This window comes from Homo sapiens, chromosome 12 (assembly GCF_000001405.40).
Source record: "Homo sapiens chromosome 12, GRCh38.p14 Primary Assembly".
Taxonomy (NCBI): Eukaryota; Metazoa; Chordata; class Mammalia; order Primates; family Hominidae; genus Homo; species Homo sapiens.
Window position 1 is genome coordinate 118908614 of NC_000012.12, and position 12904 is coordinate 118921517.

The 12904-nt window shown below is 42.0% G+C and overlaps 1 long non-coding RNA gene across 1 annotated transcript in view; it reads left to right on the top strand.

The window, feature by feature from the left end:
* Positions 1 to 11671, top strand: part of LOC105370019 (uncharacterized) — a 48831-nt gene extending 37160 nt beyond the window's left edge. The window contains exon 5 of the long non-coding RNA XR_945423.3: positions 11585 to 11671. This is a non-coding gene — a long non-coding RNA (uncharacterized LOC105370019). The remainder of the gene's footprint in view (positions 1 to 11584) is intronic.
* The last annotated feature ends 1233 nt before the right edge of the window (positions 11672 to 12904 follow it).

Genomic DNA, 12904 nt, shown 5'->3' on the forward strand with positions numbered 1-12904 from the left:
AGGAAGCAAAAGGTTTCTGAGAGATACCAAACCTGTGAAGTGAGTTTCATAACCTATGCAACTGACTTCATGGATTTTTGACAGATCTATCACATTTCTGAAAGTTATGAGATTTTTTTCCCCTCGGGGAAGGCAGGGTAGGAGGGTAAAGCATATCCTCCCTCCCCACCTTCCTCCTACCTTCCCAATGCTATGGTGATGCCCACCCCATGCCCCAGTTACCTGTAATCTGTGTTTAATGGAGTCGATTGAGGAAGTCAGCGAGATGGAAGAAAGATGCCAAGAACGAGGCAGCAGAGAAACAAACCCAGACTCTTACTCACTTCCCGACTCTGCCAGATGCTCAGACCCCTTCCAGATGGATGAATCAGAGCCTTTCCAGAGCTCTCAGCTCGGGCCTGCCATTGCCACACAGGTATTTAATATGGGAAAATTTTAATCACGTTTGTTTTCCCATGTTTTGTTCTAACGACAAATCATTTTTAATGGGAGACTAGGGGGTGGAAAAAAAAGATGTAGCAAATCTTGGCTGACGGTTTTATCACTAGTCTCAGATCTCTGGTCCCAGGGCTGGATTTGCCACCAACTGCAAATCATCCTGAGTGAATGAGATGCGCAGGAAGTAGAAAGAGGGGCTACAAAGGACCCATGGTGTCCCTGCCTCCTATTTGTCCACCACCTCCCAATAAGAATTCAGGGACAACTACTCTGTTCTAGTTGTTACATTTTAATCCTCTCCATAATCCTGCAGGGTAGGAAATTGCTCTTCCTAAATGGCATCGTGGGAACTGATGCTCTGAGGTCCCCAGTGACTTGCCCAAGTTCACCTAGCCAGTAAGTCATGGAGCAGGGGCTTAAATCCAGGTCTGTTTCACCTGACAGCCTGGGTTCTTCACCGTGGCACCATGCTGCCTCTCTTTACAAATCACATTTTAAAATTCCTTGATAGTTACAACTTCTCTTAGAGAAGTCTATTTTCTTTTTTTTTTTTTTTTTTTTTTTTGAGGCGAAGTCTCACTCTTGTTCCCCAGGCTGGAGTGCGATGGCACGATCTCGGCTCACTGCAACCTCTGAGGTCTATTGTCTAAGTATGTTTACAGACATGGAGAGGTTCACTTTGTCATGGGCAAATATGCCATTCAAGGCCCCATGTATGGATCCTGGCAGGGCCAAGCCAAAAACCCAAGTCTTCTGAAAACGTGGAGACTCCGTGGTTCATTGCCTTCCGTAAATAAGGCAGAAACCCTATCACCCCTGACTCTGACTAAGCCCTCGCCTGGATCACCTGAAGTATGTCCATCTTTGTGGTAGAAAGACCATTGATTTTAGGAGTTTTAAGGAGACCTGGGTTTCTAAAGTGGAATAATGGTAGCAAGGCATATAATTTTTATTTTATTTTTCAACTATACCTACCTTTAAAAATTATATGAATAATATTTGACTATATCTGGAGTAGTTTATTTATTTATTTATTATTTTAAAATAGGCTCTCACTCTGCCACCCAAGCGGGAGTACAGCGATGTGATTACTGTAGCCGCGAACTCCTGGGCTCAAGTGACCCTTGTGCCTCAGCCCCCTGAGTAGCACCACCACACCTGGCTAATTTTTTAATTTTATGTAGAGATGGGGGTCTCATTATGTTGCCCAGGCTGGTCTTGAATTCCTGGTCTCAAGTGATCCTCCTACCTCAGCCTCCGAAACTGTTGAGATTGCAGGTGTGAGCCACTGCACCCAGCACATCTGGAGTATTTTACAGCAATTCCAAGGTATTGTATCATTTTACTGAAAAATACTTTAGTGAGTATCACCAACAGATGAAGACTTTTTAAAAAGAACATATTCACAATCATGTAGCTTATCGTAGCCTTACTTTATTCACTTGTAAAATGGCATGAAATACCCAGGAAGTTCGATTAAGAGTAATAAATGAGAAATTGCAGTGAAAGATGTAAGTGAAGAGCCAGGAATTATTCCTGCATAAATCAAGAGATAGTTTTTCAGCAGAAGGCAGGTGGTTAACAGCATCAAATGTTACCAAGAAGCCAAATAGAATGAAAGCTGAAAAGTAACCATTGAATTTGGTATTGGGAGGTCCCCAGGGATCATTAGAGCTATTTTGATGGAACTATGTGGATGGAAGCCAGATGGTAAAGGAAGTAAGGGATGATGAAATAGAAATAGTGAATCTAGACTATATTTTCTAGATATTCGAGCAGTGGAAGGTTGGGGGAAGCTTCTACTCTTAGGGAGAAGCCAGGAGCAAATGACAGTGCTCTTTAGGGTGAGGAAACATGAATTTCTTGTTGTGGGTAAGGATATAGTCAAGTTGGTGAGCTTGAATATGTAGGAGTGAGAAGGAATAATTGACAGAACAAGGTCATTCTGAAGTAGGAAGAATTGGTATCAATAGCACAAGGAGAGGAGCTGGCACTTGAAAGAAGGAAGAGCTCTGCCATCATCCAATGTGCATCTATTGAGCTCTTCTTGTATGCAGTGCACAGAACACTGTATAGGACAATGAGGGATATAATGAGAAACAAGGACTGGCCTTCTTGTCAAGGTTTGCACAGTCTACTGATTGCTAAAAGCTAACTAAACAGACAATGCCAGTTGTGCAGAGAGGGTCAAGAAGAATTTGCAGAAAAATCTATCTGAGACTGGGAATGTAAGTACAAGTAAATGAGTGAGAGGAATGAGGGAAGAATGCTCCTGGCAGAAGGAATAATGTGTGCAAAATCTGGAGGCCAGAGCAAACACCATTAAACTTTTACTCTCGGGAAGAACGGAAATAAGTAAGCATGGGTAAAGATGCAGGTAAGTAAAGCGTGGTGGCTCATGCCTGTAATGCAGGCATTCTGGGATGCCAAAGTGGGAGGACTGCTTGAGCCCAGGAGTTCAAGACCAGCCTAGGCAACATAGTAAGATCCCATTTCTTAAAAAAAAATGAAAAATAAAAAAATTCTGGGCATGGTGGTGCACACCTGTAACCCCAGCTACTTGAGAGACTGAGGCAGGAGCATCTCTTGTGCTCAGGAGTTTAAGGCTGCAGTGAGTTATCATCACTCTACTGTACTCCAGTCTGGGAAACAGAGCAAGACCCTGTAAAAAAAAAAAAGATGCAGATAAGTTTGGAGATGAAAGGCAAAGTGGCCAGAGTACATATTGAATGGCTTATGTTTTCTTGGAGAGTTTGAGGCTGAGAGAGTTCATCGGGGTGATAGAGACATATTGAGCAGAGCTCATTAGAATGGAGATGAGATGAGCCCATTTATTATGTATTTAAAGGGCAGGCATCGACTTTCACCATGGAGAAAGTTTTCCTACTTCTCACCTCCACTGTCAGGAAGTAGTCCAAGTTATCCTTGCCTTTCCCCTAGATCACAGAAATAGCCTCTTTTATTGGTCTTTGCCCATCCATTCTTGTCTCCTCCATTTCCTTCTCCATGCAGCAGCCTTTTAAAAAGATGACATAACTGCCTTGTTTAAAACCCTCTGATAGCTTCTCATTGTACTTAGAAAAAAAATCTAGGCCCTTTGCCACATCCTGCAAAGCCCAGTGTGTTTTCTTTGTCCACCTCTGCAGCCTCACCTCAAGCTTCTTATTTCACTCTGTTCCAGCCACTCTGCCTTCTTTTCCCTGGATCTTCCTCTTACCTCCTGGCCTTTGCACATATGGCTTCCTGTGGCTGGATTCCTCTTGTGTCTGTTCTTTCTTTAGACCTTAGCTCTATCATCACCAACTCCAGGAAGCTCTTCCTAACTTCACAGAAGAGGTCACATTTCCCTCTTTACAGCACTAGCAGAATTGTATACCTCTTCCTGTGGGCACTTAATAGACGGGCAAGTTCACATTTAATTGCCTAATTATCTGATAAACATCCCTCTCAACCATTACTGTAGGTTCCATGAGAGCAGTTCCACAAGTGTCTATTTTTACCTCTCTCACTATTATGACCCCAGGATCGAGTGAAGGGTCTAACACAGTAGACACTCAATAAATACTTTATAAATGAATGAACAAATACATGGCCATTAGTACTCCTTGAAAAACCATTGAATCCTTAGCAATTCCTTGTAGAGCTATTGATTCAATCTGATTTCATCTGAGCATGAGCAACCTTGCTCTCCCAGTCATGTCCCTGTGATGATTTTTATCTTTCTGCACAAATATATCTACTTCCCACATGCCCATGCACGTATGTCAGTGTGTATAATCCCAACTCCAGTAAATACTTTGCTTAGACAAGAGACAGCAGACACGCACTCATCAAATCCATGCTTGCAACCAGGAGAGAAAGCAGCTGTCATTGCTTTCGCACACATGTTTATTGATGATGCAGATTAAACTTTAATCATATTGCACAGTTTCAATTTCCAATTGAAATTGAAAGTCTGAGCCATGTATAGGTTTTTATTACCATCCACTTACACTGCTGATGGAAGCGATCGGAGGGGAGCCATCTTCCTGGGCCTCAGGTGGGGCGGCTGGGTCATAAATCAAATTAATACTGCAATGTAGCAGAGGTGTTAATGCACAATAGGAGATGAGAGGGGTTAGGAGCAATTTAGGGAGTGGGGGACCTTGTCGTCAGGGTGGAATGGTGCATGACGTGCACGGCTCCAAAGTGAAGAGTGGGGCTTCTGCCTCCAGTTATCTCTGTAGTGTTTTTATAAGCAAAGAAAAATGCTATTTAACCATGCTTAGGTTAACAGTTTGGAAAACTGTTGCAGTAGCGAAAGTTCCTCCTGAGGAAGAGATCGGCTTCTGCTTGTGAGTGTTTTAAGGTGTATATCCTTAAGAGCAGCAGACACTGCCAAAAGGGATTACAGTTGGTATTAGACCAAAAGAAATTTCTGCAAACTTTTTTTAGTATTACTGTAATAATACCCATTGCCCAAAATGTGGATATCCGTATGCCCACAAATACAGAACACTGATGTCCGTGATTTTTACCTGGGCTTTTATTCTAGGGCTAGAAAGGTCACTCATCTTTTTGGGGGAGATGGCAGTATCCATGAAGTTGTCTTGGGTATCAGGCTGGTACCAGATCAAGAAGTAGAAATTAAGCAAGACTTCATGCCCCAAGTGGAGAATAATAATACCAATAAGTAGCATTTATTGAGCACTTACTATGTGCCAATCTCTGTGTTGACCCTTACCTAGCTTGCATAATAATGGTATGAAATAGGTACCTTTAATAATATGTGTAAAGTACTCATTCAGCACTTGGTACATGGTAAGTGACAGTAAGTACCGAGCTCTTGTTCAGTGTTCCATTGTACACTTGGGGGAATGGAATGAAGAGCTAGAGAGGTGTGTGGCCAGGTGCAGTGGCTCCTGCCTATAATCCCAGCACTTTGGGAGGCTGAGGCAGGAGGATATCTTGAGCCCAGCAGTTCAAGACCAGCCTGGGCAACATAGCAAGACCCTGTCTCTACCAAAAAAAAAAAAAGTTTTTAAAACATTAGCTAAGCATAGGGGCATGCACCTGTGGCCCTAGCTACTCAGGAGGCTGAGGTGGGAGGATTGCTTGAGCTTAGGAGGTCGAGGCTGCAGTGAGCAATGATGGCACCACTGCACTCCAGCCTGAGTGACAGAGCGAGACCTTGTCTCCAAAAACTTAAAGTGAGAGCGGCGAAATGACTTAGCCAAGGTCACACATCTAGGAGGTGGCAGGGATGATGTGATTGGCATCAAGATGTCTGATTTTAGTGTGTGAGTCTTTAACATCTATGCACTGCTGCCTCATCATGTAGAAACCCCACTCTGAAGAACAGATCTGTGAGAAAACCCACCTGTGTTGGGAGGCTCAAAGTTGAGTTGCTAACCAGTGAATTCAGTGTCTGTGAACTGAAGAACTTTGGGGCTCATGACAAATCAGAGGGCCGGATGAATAGCTGCCAGGGTGAATCAGTGATTGGATACTGTTTATAAGGGATCCACTCTGGGGTAGACTTTTGGGATGCAAAAATGAAAAGATAGCCCTGTTCCAAGGAATTGTAGTCTACAGGGGAAATCCATTGTTTTACATAAGTTTTGCTCAGCTCCTCAGTGTCCTTCACTGCAAGTCTCTAGTTTGCTCAGACCTCTTTCCCAACATGAGAACTCACATAGGGGTGGAAGCCTGGCTTCTTCCCCAAGCCCCTAACCCTTGTATGGCTTTGTTTTTGCTCAGCTCTATCAAAAACACCATGGGAGAAACAGCTTGAGTTCTGCCTTGTACATCCTTAAAGAGCCTGGCAATCTTCCTTCACCTAAAACAAATGCTTAAGTCAGCACAAGAAAATCCCCATCACTGGCAGGTAGAAAGGGGAAATGGGAGGAAAAAATCTGAGCTAAAATATCTAAAATCCCAGCAGGATTACTAAAGATAATAGCGGCCCCACTGGCCTGCATTGTACGATCATAGTCCCCGCTATGTGCTGAATATTTCACTGGGTGCATTGGTTATCATATCTGATTTAATCTTTCAAGGAAGGTGGAATAATCCCCATTTTACAGAAGAAGAAACAGGCTCTGAAAGGGTAAAGCATCTGCCCAGAATCACACAGCTAGAATCTCAGGGCACAGATGTGTATGTCTAATTCCAAGTGCAGGCATTTTCAACTCAGCAACGTTGTCTCTGTTTTCATTATAAATTTTAACCTCTCTTACCTTCTTGAATAAGTAATATCTGCAAATGTTATAAAGTCCAAAGGTGCAGCAGTGTACAGAGCAAAGTCTGCTTCTCAGGGCTGTCTCCTAGCCCCCAAACTCAACTGTGAACATTCCTGAGAGGAAAAGGTGAGAGATCTATGAACTTTATCCTCTGTGAGTTTCCAGGTCAGCTGAGCAGCTAGAAAAGCAACTCAGAAGCAAACTTACTGGAAAAAAAAAAGAGAGAGATGGTGTTATAGGTGCCTTCCAAGATGGATACAAATGCTCTGGGAAAACAGCTGCAATATTTTCAGATATTAGAGAAGGAAAATCATGAATACTTGCTTGTAGGAAGTGGTATTAGATCTGTCATTGGAAGTACAGAATGTGGATAAGAGAGTAGGGAGGAAGATTTGAGAAGAATGTCATTTATTTTGTGTCTTTTCTGTCCCAGGGTCTTCCAGACTCTGTTCACTTTTCCTGAAGCATATGCTTTCTTTCCCCCTAGCCAGACCAAATCCTACTTATTCTTTTAATCCAAGCTGGAGTGTCTCATTCTTTTTTTTTTTTTTTTTTTTTTTTTTTTTTTTTTTTTTGGAGACGGAGTCTCGCTCTGTCACCCAGGCTGGAGTGCAATGGCGCAATCTCAGCTCACTTCAAGCTCTGCCTCCCGGGCTTACGCCATTCTCTGCCTCAGCCTCCTGAGTAGCTGGGGCTACAGGCGCCTGGCACCATGCCTGGCTAATTTTTTGGTTTTTAGTAGAGACGGGGTTTCATCATGTTAGCCAGGATGGTCTTAATCTCCTGACCTCGTGATCCGCCTGCCTCGGCCTCCCCAAGTGCTGGGATTACAGGTGTGAGCCGCCGTGCCAGGCCTGGAGTGTCTGATTCTTAAGAAAACCTTTCCTGATAAGCCATACTAGGTTAGCCACCCCTCTTATGCAGACTCTGATGTGCTGTCTTAGTGTATGGTGCATTTTTATTTGTAGAACTTACCACACTTTGAGTTATTTGGGTAATTCTCTGAATATGTCTGTCTCTTTCTTCTAGACTGGAAGTCCCATGTTAGCAGGAACTGAGCCTTTCTTGTTCACTGCTGCATCCCTAAATACATAGTTGAGAATCGGTGAATATAACCTGGGTTCAGTCCTCACTCTGGCACGAACTTGGGCTACTGGCACTACCTTGGGCATGACCTTGGCTCTGGCTGAACAACCTTGGGCAAGTGAATTAAACTCTCATTGTTATTTTTAATTATAATAACAAACACTTTAATAACATTTTTTATATGTCAGGCCCCAACCTAGGTGGTTTTACATATAACAACCATTTACTATATATAACAAACTTTTGGGGTAGGTACTGGTGTCACCATTTTACAGATGAGAATATTGAGACCCAATATGGAAGGCAGACTTCTAAGATGGTCTCCACTGATTCCCACCTCCTGGAATGCATGCTCTTTTTTGCCTTTTCCCCCGAATGTGAACTAGACTAGTGACTTACTTCTAGTCAACAGAATATGGCGAATATGTTGGGATATCAGGTCCATGATTAGGTTCCAGAAGACTGTGATTTTGTCTTGCTAGCCGACTCTTTTAATTGCCTTCTCAGCTTGCAGGCTTTGATGAAGCAAGCTGCCATTTGTAGATGTTCATGTAGCAAGAGCCTGAAGGTGGCTTCCTACTAACAGCTTTGTAAGAATGGAGGCCCACAGTCCAACAACCCTCAGAGAACTAAAGGAAGCCAAATGTGGGTGAGCTTGAAGGTATATCCTCCCCCAGTCAGCCAATGAGATGACCAAATCCCTGGTTCACACCTTGATTTAAGGCAGATGAGAAGACCCAGCTAAGCAATGCTCACATTCCTGACCCACAGAAGCTGTCAGATCATAAATGTGCATTGTTTTAAGCTACAAGGTTGTAGGGTTGTATGTTACACAGCAATTGGTGACTAATACAAGAAAGATTAAGTCACTTGCCTAAGATTGCTCAGTAAGTAGAGAACCTTGATCTGAACTCAAAGAATTCGGCTCAGGAAAAGTTCACGCTATTAAGGACCATATTCTATTGCCTTACTGTAATCTGGTAAGGGATGCTTCTGGTACATACTTCAAAGGCTTTTCTAGAAATTAAATGCTACCATGAATGTAGAAATGCCTGGCAGAGTCCATGACACACAGTAAGTGCTTAGTGAATGTCAGCTGTAATTATTATTATCCTCGTTGTTATTTGGTACCTTCAAGACATGAGCAAAGAAAAGGGAAAACCCCATAAACATGAAGTCAGAAAAGACACTCATAGTAGCCTTGAGAGAGCAGCCATTTTCCTTCATTAAGAACCATTCCAAGGAAGGTATTTAATAAAACATTCATGAGCTACCACTGCCTGAAAGGCTGAAATGGCAGCCCCCGCAGTGACCCACAACTTTAGGCAGATGTACTTTCTTGGTCTCTCTTTCTCCTTTCTAGCATTATCAGGGAAGCCCCCGAGAGCAAGGAGGGAAAGAATAGTCTGAAACTAAGTAGATATATTAGCTGGAAAGGAATAGATTTGGAAATTCTAAACAACACTCCCAGGATACAGTTTTCCTCCAGAGTTACAGCATCACAAGCAGAACTGATGCGGGCTTTTAAAGACTGCTTTCCTCCCGATTTTTAGGGAGCCACAGGACAGAGGATATTTCTGGAGGCTGTACCAGGGGGAAAACTGTCAATATTATTCGGTGACCTTTCCCCTTTCACAGAGTTCAGGACCAGGGATTCCAAGGGCTGAGACAGTGGGTGAGGATACCATGTCCTGATAATCTCTGACTTGGGGACCCAACAGAAGGGAGGAGAACATGTAACTGCGTTCAGAGATCTGTCATCTCCCTACTCACGATGGGTACTGATGATAGAAGAGTCATAACATTATTAACAGGAAAACCTAATGTTCAAATGGAATTGGAATGCATCCTTTCCAAGGCAGAAAAATGTGAAATATATTCTGGCTTCCTCTTTATCTTCCCCACTAGGAATTTGCATGAAGCTGAATTATCCATGTTTACATAATGTCCTCTATTAGCTTTTCTCAGTTAATTTTTAGTATATCATCTCTGATTCTACTTTTTTTGCCTCCCCTGATGGAGACCTAGTTTTCTTCTTGGTAAGTATGTATACTCTAAATAATTTAAGACTCTTGATATATGACTACTGGCCTTTAGGAAAGCACAAATACATTTACAACATTATAAGAATCTGAGAAATGCAGAATGTTTGAAGACACTGATGACTGGTCTGTTAGCAACATACCTTGAAATGTCAAAACTTATATTCAGAGAAGTCAGTGCTTGAATTCTTCCCTTACTTGTTACTGCTTCTACCTTTTCATTATATAGTGTGGGTTGTTATGGTGATGGGAAACTGGAATATTGAGAGGCTCTTGGAGAAAATATCTATGTGAAATGATCCATTTCTAAGTCAAGTTGGGGATGGCAAATATTCTACTATGGCCTAATCAGTCAAGCATCATAAGGTTAAAAATATACCTAAATGTTACTTGACGTATACGGCTTTGTCTTCTTTAAAGTGCTTGAGACTCAAAGGGTTTGATGCTGTAGGACAGGGAGGGTCCTTCATGTACACAGGGATTTATTTAGTACGGGTTGGCAAACTGCAACCATTTATCAAAAAAGCCAGCCACTTTTTTGGTAAATAAATTTCTATTGGAACACAGCTACACTTTTTTTTTTTACATGTTAACTAAGATTGTTTTTGTGCTATAACAGCAGAGTAGTCATGAAAGAGGCCATATGGCTTGCAAAGCCTAAAATATTTACTATCTGGCTAACTAAATGTTTGCCAACCCCTGATGGGGTCATAGCCATGGAAGAAGCATGGTCCTGCTGCAATTGAAGTTGAGAAATATGAGTTTCAAAGACCTGAGCTCATATCTCCTCCTCTTGACTAACTAGCTATGTGAACTTGAATGCACCTATGCCCTACCTTGGTCTATCTCATTTACACAATGCAAATACTTCTGTCCATAGCTGACATCCTGCTCTAGGACAGGGTCTATTATTCTTTAACCTTTCTTTTATTTCCTCTTTCATTCCCAAAAGAATGTTGCTGATATATATAGCAGGATCTGAGCACATTTGTTGAATGAATGTGTGTGCAACATAATTATATCACAGAGCTGTCATTAGGCTCAAATGGTATAACAGTGCACACAATGTGAGACATATAACATGCTCCAGGCACCAGAGGCTATTTTAGACAGATCCATTTCTGGCTTGAAAGCTAGGGTCAGAGGAAATAGGGATTAGTTCACATGTTCTCCTCGACCTTTGTGGCTGAATTTCCTTTGTTTCAGTTGGGTTCTTTCAGTTGCAAGACAGAGACTCCTTCAAGTTACCTTTTTAAAAAGCAGTTTATTATTAGGAGCTGTGAACTGTAATTAGAACTGGAAAGTTTTCAGCACCTACAGCTGTTTTAGGAATCAGTCTCTCTTTCATTCTCTCTCTCTTGTCCTCTCTAATTATTTGTTCAATTCTCCTTTCTCTCGATTATGTTTTCCCTCATATTCTTCTTCTTTTTTGCTCATGTAGAAATTTGGTTTATTCATGATTTTGCCTGCCATGTCTCAAGGTGTCTTTTCATCCTCAGTCCTTATGCTATCTCAATTTCCCAGCTTGATAATGCTCAGTACTCCAGAGGAATCTGATTGGCCAAAGAGATCTTTTTATCCCAGATGATACAGGTCCCAAGTCACTGGCCACAGGTTGGATCCATCATACTTGTGTCGCAGAGTCCATACAATGCCCCAATTAGCTGGCAAGGTGGAAGGAGGTTGCTGAAGCAATAGGGATTGTGAGACAGACAGTTTCCTTAAATGGGTGTGTGGGAATAAGCACTGACTGACATCCCTATTCCTCTCTTTGCTCCTTCTTGTTCCTTTTTATAGGTTCTGCCTAATAATGGATTCAGAAACAGAACTTCTTACCTTTGTGGCATGTGAGTGTTGTCAATTAAAGGCAGAAGACAAATTTTACAAGCCTCTAATTTGTTTCCTGACTTATGGGCCATTGGAAAGCCATGGGATTTTCAGACACAGTATCCCTGCAATATCTGTGAGGTTTCCTCTCCATGTCGTTTGTGACATTGGGCCAGTCTGTAGAGATAAGGAAGGGGGAACATGTGACTGAGCACCCAGACCCCCTGGGAAATCAGACAGAGAAACTGGGTTCCAGGAAGACTTGTATCAGGAAGGCCTTTTGAGCCCTGTTAGTCATGCAGGATCTCTACCTCCCTATTGGAGGCTTAATTTATTGGAATCTTTTAATTTACTGGAGGCTGAAGGGGAAAAATCATTATATAAAAAAGACACATGCACGCGCATGTTTATAGCAGCACAATTCACAGTTGCAAAGATATGGAAACAACCTAAGTGCCCATCAACCAATGAGTGGATAAAGAAAATGTGGTATATCTACACCATGGAATACTATTCATCCATAAAAAGAAGCAAAATAATGTATTTTACAGCAACTCAGATGGAGCTGGAGGCCATTTTTCTAAGTGAAACAATGTAGGAATGGAAAACCAAAAATCATATGTTCTCACTTATACGTGGGAGCTAAGCTATGCGGATGCAAAGGCATAAGAATAATATAATGACCTTTGCATACTCAGGGGGAAGGGTGGGAAGAGAGTGAGGGATAAACGACTACATATTAGGTACAGTGTACCCTGCTCAAGTGGCAGATGCACTAAAATCTTAGAAATTACCACTAAGAACTTATCCATATAACCAAAAACCACCTGAACTCCCCCAAAACTATTGAAATTAAAATTAAAATTAAAATATATATATTGTACTTGAGGCTGAAGCCAAGCAAAAGAGGCAAGGAATTTGTTTCCTTTGGCAGCTGTCTCCAGTTAGCTTTTCACCACCTCTAGGGCTTGTCATCTTCATGATTCTACACTGAAATTTCTCCCCCTCCTTTTTCTCACTAGACATTACATTCATCTGGGTTCTTTTCCTTGGAAGAGTCTAAGTAATAAATGTGATAAATTACCTGTCACTGGAAGAGAGTTTCAAAGCCTAGGTGATGTTCACCTCTTGCCTTACCTCTTGCTCCTCAACTCAACAGCATCAATTAGAGATCCTGTAAGCTAATCGAGAAACAGATTCAGGCTAATTTAAGCAGAAAGTGAACTTATTAGAATGATATTAGAAGGATATTGGATCATAGAATCAATGAGAAGGCTGGAAAACTCAGCG